Raw genomic sequence first — 10,688 nt, 5'->3', positions numbered from 1 at the left:
AAGCACTAATTAGATTCACTCAAAGTTTCAAAAAATATATCCATACATTTACAGTGAATAAAGACATAAAATTCACAATTTAAATGTTTTCCAACCCACCTCAAAACAAATTTATTGCTTGATCACAAGGAAAACTATTTTAGAACCAAATAATAAAATATAGTTTATAGATAAATATAATAGATAATAATCATTAAATCCAATAATGAAAATAAGGCTTCCCAAAAAATAAATGAAAATCACATTGAATAATATTTAAGATGAATATATTTTTATTTTTTCCAGCTTAGGAATATTTTATTCAGGGCCATGGGTACACATATACTGATATTAAGCAACTAACTCCATCAAATTATGTGTAAATGATAATAGTGCTAGAAGGCCAATGCTACTTAATTTCCTTTTTTCTCTAATATTTTTAATAGTTCTAGTAATAGAATCATTAAAAAAGGTATCAAGTTTTTACGTTTGGAAACTACCAATATTGATCGAGAAGATGGCAATCAGCAGAAGGAATGATCTCTAAAAAACATTTATAAATTGTCTTGAGGCAAAATAGAAGACCACGTAAGGCTCAAAGGTGGTATAATATTTCTATCCACTTACGTTTCTAGCTCACTGTACCACAGATAAATCTCACTGAAAAGGAAACAATTGTCAAATATCTGTTGTCAGAAAGCTATGTTCTAGTATAAACAGACTCATGGTACACTATTCTTTTTCTACGTTGATACTACATTTTTACTTTCATAAACGGACAATAATTTTAAGCAAAATAACACATCTAGTGACAGCAGTGAATATAGAGTGTCACTTTAATGTGGAAATATGAAACTGGCAAGAGATAGAGGAAAGTCTAGAAAAATAAGCAATTGGAACACTGCATTAGTGTTATACTTTCATTCTTTGGGACTGGATAAGGACTGTGACTACTTTATAATAAATGCCACTTGCCTTTGAGAGGGACAAGGTCAAGGGATTTCTCCTTATAATGGCAAATCCGCCAAAAGTAAAGAGTGGAATGAAAAAATAGGCCATTCTTCCAAATATTTTAAATGAATGTTCACTAATTATGAGTGGATAATGATTGAATTTAGGATACACAGGGAGAATATATTTACCATATTCTGAGGAATCATATAGAACAGAAAATAAGACCTCCTAATCAAAGCTGAGGTAACATAAACATTTTAATGAATAATAAACACAAAAGACTAATGAGAAAAAAAATCATTTTATTAAAAAATAAAACATGCTCAAGATACTGAAGAACAAAATATATTTTATAAAAGCATTTACTAATAGTATTAGGAGAAGGGATCTCATCTTTTTCCTAGTGTATTTGAGTATCCTGTAAATACTCAGTTAAGTTTTATTTGTAGCTTAGCATTTTCCTAGGAGTGCAAGAGCTATGTACTGAAGAAATAGTAAGTCTGATTTCTTGTTTTTTACTTTATTCTACCAGTCTGCTTTAATATATTTGGGCCAGTAAAACACTGCTTTAATTTATTTTAACCTATAAAACATTTCATTGTCTTGCAGATCAACTTCCTCTAATTATTTTTCTTTTAAAAACTCCTCAGCTCTCCTCATTTATTCTCTAAAATGATGTCAGAATAATTTTGCCAAGTTTCAATTTTCCCATCAAAGTTTTAAATTGAATAAATTTAAATTTGTATGGAGTTTTATAGGAAATTAACATTTTTATATTATGTCATCTTATTCAGGAACATAATATTCTATCAATTTCTTAATGCCTTTTCTAATGTTCTTGACTGGCTAGTACAATAATCAAAAGTGTGTGATAAAATATGAGAGGTTCACATTTCCAGGACTTGCCTGTGACAAAACAAAGGAGGGAAAATATTTTAAAATATTTCAAATTTTTGGTAAAATTTCTTCCTCCTTCCTCTTCTTCTTCTTCTTCTTCTGCCGCTGCTGCTGCTGCTGCTGCTTCTGCTTCTTTTTCTGCTTCTTCCTCTTCTTCTTCTTCTTCATTTAGGTACATCATAGCTGTATTTACAGTTGTATTTAGACACACCTATTAATAATAAGATTAGTACTTATTATTTCGTTTTTAGATATTCGTTGATAATTATGAATGTTATGGACTTTGGTGCAAAATTTTATATCAAGACATGTATTTGAAACACTATCTTATATGAAATACCATCTGGTAGTATGACATGACTTGAGTATGGATATTGAAGTCTTGGACTAAACTCACCTCCTTAACATTTATTATGTAGCATTTGGCAAATAAGTTAACTTTTGGAGATGTAATAGGAGAAATGGTTTAAGGACTAAGTTAGTTGCCTCTTAGTGAACCCCAGAAAAATGACTGAACAACTTAAACTCTGTGTTTAGGCTAGCTGATATGTAGTACCTACTGTCAATAATGTATTTCGGAAAATTCCGAGAAGGGATATTCCTCTTTTATCATTAAAAACATGCTTGAAGCCATTGATAAACCTGTCTTGGTCAAACTGTATTATTCTTTTAGCATGCTAGATTGAATGCGTAAAATATTGATGAGAAATTTTGTATAATCTTACCTTTTGTGCTATATTTGTTAGATTGTATTAACAAGTTATGTTTCATATAATGTGTTTGAAATGTTTGGAGAAATAGAATCCATACTTCAAAGTCTTTTTAAAAAAACACAGATGCTTCTCAAGTTACATAAAGCGCACACCTGCAAACTCATCTGTACTTGGTACCTTTTTGTTAGAAATATTTTTCAATCCCTTTCATGGTTACACACTTATATAGATTATTTAGTTATACTTTATTTAATTTTAATATCTGAGGTCTATCTAGTATTTACTGTGTGTTCCAGCTATGGGCTGTTGATTCCTATGCTTCATCACATATTAACTGTTTACCATATGGTTATGGTATGGTTAACCATTATTAGTGGTTCTAATATTTCAATATACATGGCAAGGTTGCACAACTTCTCTCCTTGATGTTGGGTGAAACCATGTTAATTGTTTTGGCCAGTAAAACATGAGTGGTATTGATGTGTGAAATGAAGGAAGAAGCCAAAGAGTGCAAGCATGTGATTGTTTTTCCATGCTCTCTGTGCCCTCCCTTCTGGAGCTTACTGGCTGTATTAGTCAGTTTTCATGCTGCTGATAAAGACAAACCCGAGACTCAGCAATTTACAAAAGAAAGATGGACCTACAGTTTCATGAAGGTGGGGAGGCCTCGCAATCAAGGTGGAAGGTGAAAGGCCCATCTCACTTGGCAGCAGGCAAAAGAAGAGAACTTGTGCAGGGAAAGGCCCCTTTACAAAACCATCAGATCTCATGATACTTATTTACCATCATGAGAATAGCATGAATAAACCAGCCCCAATGATTCAATTACCTGCCACCAGGTCCCTCCCACAACACGTGGGAATTGTGGGAGCTATATTTCATATGAGATTTGGGTGGGGACATGGCCACACCATACCATTCCACTCCTGGCCCCTCCTAAATCTTATGTACTCACATTTCAAAACCAATTTTGCCTTCCCAACAGTCCCTCAAATCTTATTTCAGCATTAACTCAAATGTCCACAGTTCAACGTCTCATCTGAGACAAGGCAAGTTCTTTCTGTCTACGAGCCTGTAAAATCAAAAGCAAGTTAATTACTTCCTACATACAATGGAGGTACAGGCATTGGGTAATTACAGCCATGCCATTCCAAATAGGAGAAATTTGCCAAAACAAGGGGTTACAGAAATCCATCAGGGCAGTAAAATATTAAAGCTCCAAAATGATCTCCTTTGATTCCATGTTTCACATCCAGGTCATGTTGATGCAAGTGGTGAGTTCCAGTTTGGTGAATGAGGGCCAGTTTTGCAGCTCTGGCCCTGTGGCTTTACAGGGTACAGCCTCCCTCACAGTTGCTTTCATACTTTGGAGTTGGGTGTCTTGCACATTTACCAGGAGCACGGTGCAAGCTGTCAGTAGATCTACCATTCTAGGGGCTGGAGATTGGTGGCCCTCTTCTCACAGCTCCACTAGGCAGCACCCCAGTGGGGACTGTATGTGGGGCTGCCCACCCCACATTTCCCTTCTGCATTGCCCTAGCAAACTTCTGCCTGGACATCCAGGCATTTCCATACAACCTCTGAAATCTAGGCAGAGGGTCCCAAACCCCATTTCTTGACTTCTATGTAGGCTAAGGCTCAACACCATGTGGAAGCTACTAAGGACTGGGGCTTGAGCCCTCTGAAGACATGGCCCAAGCTGTACCATACCTTGGCCCCTTTTAATTATGGCTGCAGTGGCTGGGATGCCGGGCACAAGTTCCTGGACTGCAAACAGCAGAAGAACCCTGGGCCCAGACCACAAAACTATAGTTTACTCTGAGGCCTCTCGGCCTGTTACCGGAAGGGCTGCTTCAAATATTTCTGACATGCCCTGGAGACATTTTCCCCTTTGACTTGCTGACTAATGTCAGGCTCTTTGTTACTTATGCAAATATCTGCAGCCAGCTTGAATTTCTCCCCAGGAAATGGGATTTTTTTTTTTTCTATTGCATTGTCTGGCTGCAAATTTTCCAAACTTTTATGCTCTGTTTCCCTTTTAAAACTGAATGCCTTTAACAGCATCCAAGTCACCTCTTGAATTCTTTCCTGCTTAGAAGTTTCTTCCACCAGATACCCTAAGTCATCTCTCCCAAGTTCAAAGTTGCAGAAATCTCTAGGGCAGGGGCAAAATGTTACCAGTCTCTTGACTAAAACGTAACGAGTCATCTTTGCTCTGATTCCCAGCAAGTTTCTCATCTCCATCTGAGACCACCTCAGCCTGGATTTCATTGTCCATATCATTATCAGCATATTGGTCAAAGCCATTTAACAAGTCTCTAGAGAGTTCCAAACTTTCCCACATTTTCCTGTCTTCTTCTGAGCTCTCCAAACTGTTCCATCCTCTGCCTGTTACCCTGTTCCAAAGTTGCTTTCACATTTTTTGGTATCTTTTCAGCAGAACCCCACTCTACTGGTAGCAATTTACTGTATTAGTCTCTTTTCACACTACTGATAAAGACATACCTGAGACTGGGCAATTTACAAAAGAAAGAGGTTTAATGGATTCACAGTTCCACATGGCTGGAAAGGTCTTACAATCATGGCAAAAGGTGAAAGGCATGTCTCACATGGTGGCAGACAAGAAAAGAGAACTTGTGCTGGGGAATTTCCCTTTATTAACCCACTGTATCTCATGAGACTAATTCACTATCATGAAAATAGCATGGAAAAGACCCACCTCCATGATTCAATTACCTCCCACCAGGTCCGTCCCACAACACATGGGAATTGTGGGAGCTTCAGTCAAGATGAGATTTGGGTGGGGATATAGCCAGACCATATCACTGGCAATACTTCAGATCATCTGAAATGTTTTTTGTTTTGTTTTGTTTTGTTTTTTTTATCACTCTGGGTTCTTGTGTAAAAATGACATGTAAAAGAACTAATATAAAAATACCTATATTAAATAGATTTGTAGTGTGAGAAAGAAATATATCTTGACTCAATTGGCTATTTATTCCTAACAGGAAGTTAAAAGAGAAATAACAATAAAAAGGGATAGCTTTCTTTTCCAAATCCTAGTTCTTGGCTTCCAAGATGTCATTAAAAATACAAAGCTTCAGTTTTTGAATTTTAGTTTATATATGTAAAATAAATCTTGGAAAAATCAGGTTATCAGAAAATTAGTATACTATGCAATCACTATTCCAGTAAGGATAATGTAAAAATACCTTGAAATTATATCAGAAGAGTACTTATTATATGTCTGTTCCAATCTTGGCATAAAACTAATGACTTCCAAGATATATTTGAGGTGAATCTGAACATATAGCCAGTGATTTAGTTTCACAAAATAGGTAAAAAAGAATTATTTCAAAATGAATTTGTGACATAAAGCTGTAAGGAAGAATTTTACCAAATGACAGATTAACTATTTCTAAAAATTTTTACTCATAGATATATATAGATAATATGTTGTTGGTACAGTTTCTAAATATAAATGTAAATTGTATAAATTTATATATGTATTACTCAAAAGATTCTACAGTCCTCAAAGAAACACAAACAGAAGTAAAAGGCAATCAACTACTTAAATAAATTTATATAATATGTAATAAACATATGTATATGTAATAAACATAAAATATGTATTATACAAATTGTTCTTATAGATTAATAAAAAATTTGTTAAATTAAAAATTGGGTAAAGGACATAAGTGTAGAATCTGTAAACAAATATGTATGTTTAATATTTTGTTTATCATTGCTAAAAACTAAAAAATTCAATTTTATAATGAATCATTTTACCCATGAATTTGACCAAGAGGAATACTTTTATGTTACTAGATAAATGTGCGAAACAAATACTCATATACTTTTTGTACGTGAATTTGTGTAAACTCCTTTTGAGATCATTACTGCAGTACAAACACAGGTCTTAAAAATATTCATATTGTTTTACTCAATTAACTTCTTAGGATCCTAAATTTAAGAAATAATTAGGGGTGGTCTCATAACCATAATTGTAATTATCATTTTAATTATTATTTACAAAAGTTATTTGTAAACAACTTACGTAAGAAAAACTGGAGTATTAAAACAAAGCTATAGAATGCCCTACAGTAAAGGAATACCATCTACTATACTGAATTCCAAAATATGGTTGTATTTTCATGATATAGAACTTGACGTGGAAGAAAAACAGACAACAGAAATCAGAAATCTAAGCTTTTCATAATGTAATTTGCTTAATTTTTAAGAAATAAGATAGAATCTATATGTCACATTCATATATAAATTTATACCAATATCACAGTATCGTATTAAATTATTAAACCAGAATCTACTGTGTAACTTTTCACACATTTTCTTATTATACATGTACTGTGACTTTTGCTTATTAAGTAGAGACATGCATTGCCTCAGGAAAGCGATACATTCTCAGAAGATGGTCGTCAAACATCCAAATTATTGCTGTTTTACACACCAAAATAGACTTGACACTTATGAATAGATTATTGTTCTTAAAAATGTTCCCAGAATTTGTATTAAAAATTACAAATATAAAGCAACATTGAAAATAGTTTTACAGTGAACAACTGCATACGCTTCTACATTTTACCACTAATTTTTACTCCACTTGCTTTATAACAAGTCTATTAATTTATACATCACTTTGTTTAACCTTTTCTTTGTATACTTTTATAAGTGAAATACATGTATTACTCTGCTTTATTCTAAATACTTCATCATGTGTATCACTAAAAGGAAACTTGGGTTTAAGAACTAAGATGTGGAACATGCAGAGCCTGCTAACTCTTAACAATACATTAGGAGACAATATATGGGAAAATGAAATACTTCATGCTCATTATTATATATATGTTACATGGGCAAATGATGCAGATTTAGAAAGAAAGGCTATAGAACATTACTTTGTTACTGGTCCCTGCAAAGGTCCTAATCCCCAGTGGGAGGAAAACTGTATGCAATAGAAACCCTGGGTGTTTAGAAGGATTCCTGGTCAAGCAGACTATTTAGAGTGGTTGATTTATTTTTTTTTTCCCTGTTGTTTTTCATCAATCATCATCAAACATCTCAAGGAAGTTTGCTGTGCCAAGATACCACCTGGGTTTCCTCTTTGCAGAGAAAAGGATGAGAGAACATCCAACTGTTTTGAGAAGGATGAAGAATTACTGAGAAGAGTGTCCATAAATATAAAAAGATAAGGACAAAAAAGAGCTCAGCAGTCTATGACCACAAATGGTGAGAGAACAAAAGATGGCTTTCAATCAGATACTCCCTCCTCGCTGATATACGTTATTTACATAGCTCTGATGTATAGGCTATCCTTGGGAAGACAAAATGGTGGGTAAAAAATCCAAAATTATTAAACAGAAAATACCTTACAAAGTTAACATTTAATAATCTCTATAGAATTGATTACTAACTTGTATTTTATACTATCAGGGAGAAATAAGTCTTGAAAATACCACAGTCTGTAGATAAATAAAGACATTTGCGAATATTTCACTCCCAAGTTTTTGTTTCTTTTGTCAGAAAATATTCTGAATAAGACTAGATTTTTAAATACGTTGTAAAAAAAATGTATTCCGTAAAAGTTGAAAACAGTGATACATTCAGCTCAGAAATACATGTTGTTGTTTATTGATAATTCAGGGAAGAACCTTTGGGCATTTATATTTGGGCATTAGTTGCACACAGTTAAGTCTAATTTTGAATGGAAAATGACTTGGGTAAAAATACTCTGTTAATAATCATTTCCAGTGGGATGTTTAAGTTGTCTTTGTTTAAACTTTCTCCTTTGTCTCTCAAGCCTTAAAGAACTTTGCTTTCCCAAATGAAATAGGCTTAAATTAGCTGTGTACTAGGGTATTGGATGATGGGCCTTTATTCATGCTTGATAGGAAAGTCACAGGGAACAACAGCTACCTGAGTGCACTAAACTAGTGATATAAGAGGGAAATAATACAGTGTAGGGCAAGGACCCACTCATGAAATATCTAAGCATAAAAATTTCTTGAGAGTTATCAAGATTAATATGATAAAATAATCTTCTGTAGTTAAGGAAGGTAGAAGCTTGCAAAATACAAATTTGTGTATCACAAATTTGTGTATCTAAAGAAAGGTAACATTATTTTTGGTTTTAAACTAAGAAAACATGTCCTCAAAAGATATTCTCCACAATGCTATTATCAGATAATTCAAGGCAGGGGAACACAGTAATACTTATTTTCTTCAGCATTTGTCTCTGTGTTTCCAAATATATAAAATGAATAAGTATTAATCTGTCAACTCTCCATCCCCACCAATAATAAAATAATGCTTTAAAAACCCTATGGCAGACTATTTTGTCTTTTTTCTTTATATATGTAAAATTTATAATATATATATTTTCTTTATATATATATAAAGAAAAAAGACAAAATCACACACACACACACACACACACACATATATATATATATATATATATATATATATATATATATATATACACACACACACACAGAGAGAGAGAGAGAGAGACTGAGAGAGAGAGAGAGAGAGACAGGGTCTTACTCCATCACCGAGGCTGGAGTGCAGTGGTGTGATCACAGCTCACTGCAACCTTTACCTCCCGGGGTCAAGCAATCCTCCCACCTCAGCCTCCTGAATAGCTGGGACTACAGGTGGGTGCCATGATGTGGGGCTAATTTGTATAGTTTTTGTAGAGATAAGGTCTCACTTTGTTGCCCAGGCTGGTCTGAACTCCTGGCTTGTAGCAATCCTCCTGCTTTCCCCTCCCAAAATACTGGGATTGCAGGTTTGAGCCACGGCACCTAGTCTGATCATAAAAGTTATTGATAAACATTTTTAAAAGAGATAATATTGTATTGGCCAAATTTTCACCAATGTGCTGCAAAAATAAATAACCTAGATCTGTTAGTGGCTTATACCAACAAATGTTTATTTCTTACTCAAACAGCAAGTCTGTGCATATCAATCTCATCTTGCTGCACTTCATCTTCATTCCAGTACTCATCCTCTATCTGGGTGCATTCAAAATCATTGTGGGTAAGAAAAAAATACATGGGAAAATTGTGCAATAGCTTTAAAGCTTCTGCCAAGAAGTGGCATATGGCACTTCTGATCACATTTCATTGGCCAAACAAGTCAACCCTGAAGTCTCCAGGGCAGGTCTATGTAATCTTGCTTCAAAAAAGAGCAAGACAGGAAGGAAAATTGAACATTTAGCAAAGAATAATGAATCCTATCATAAGCATATATTTAAATTTGACATGTAATAAATATATTAACTTCACACTTTACCAATTTTGAATTCCATTAAAATTTATAATACATATTAATATACTTGTAAATTTAAACTAATAGGTTTTGTTTAACTACCTCAATATCTTACTAAGGTGATCATATACTGATTTTGCTTTTCTAACAGTGATTCCATTTCCTAGTAGGAGTGTCTGAAATATCTTTTGGGAACTATATCTTGCCCACTTTGAGTTCATATATTCCAGATGGTACTGTACCTGTAGCTCCAAGTTTGCTGTATGTGACCCTGGCATGTGTCAGAGAGCACAAATACTCCATAACCACAGTTGTTAGTTCAGGAGTAGACATGTGACATGTGTTTGTTCAAAAAATAAAATTAGGTCACTCTGGCCACGTTGATTTATATTATATCATTTGAAACATAACTGTTATAATATTTCAATCAAAACTAATCTTAGACATGTATAAAAGCTTGTAAGAAAAAAAATACCTTCTTTTAAAAATTTTCTACTTCCTATTCTCTTTCTTTATTTTTCTTTTTTATTTCTAGGATTACACCTGAAAGGATGTAGGCCTACCCACTTGCTACCATTTTTTCACTATGTCACCATGCCAGGGAATTAGTCAAAAGATGAAGAGGTGAAAGATGTAGAGAGGATTAGATCTGATGACATGTGAAAGTATGAAGCATAAGGTGTACCTGAATATGGAAATGAAAAAAAGAGAAAGCAACAAAGCTAATGGCAAGAACCCATTTCTGAAACATGTAAACTATGAAATGATGTAACTTATTGAAGTAAATACCCTTTTCTTTAAATCACCAATTGGCAGTGAGTTTCCTTGTTATCTGAAAACAAAAGTACCAACTAA

At 33.9% G+C, this 10,688-nt stretch overlaps 1 annotated feature.

Moving 5' to 3' along the window:
- Window positions 7,671–7,871: a silencer, noted in NCBI's record as "peak4905 fragment used in MPRA reporter construct". NCBI's record gives its function as "represses an SCP1 promoter by STARR-seq MPRAs in K562 erythroleukemia cells {active_cell/tissue: K562}" and the evidence as "EXISTENCE:reporter gene assay evidence [ECO:0000049][PMID:32103011]".

Source organism: Homo sapiens, chromosome 3 (assembly GCF_000001405.40).
Source record: "Homo sapiens chromosome 3, GRCh38.p14 Primary Assembly".
NCBI lineage: Eukaryota > Metazoa > Chordata > Mammalia > Primates > Hominidae > Homo > Homo sapiens.
The sequence above is the reverse complement of the archived record's forward strand: the minus strand, read 5'-3'. Positions and strand labels throughout refer to the sequence as shown.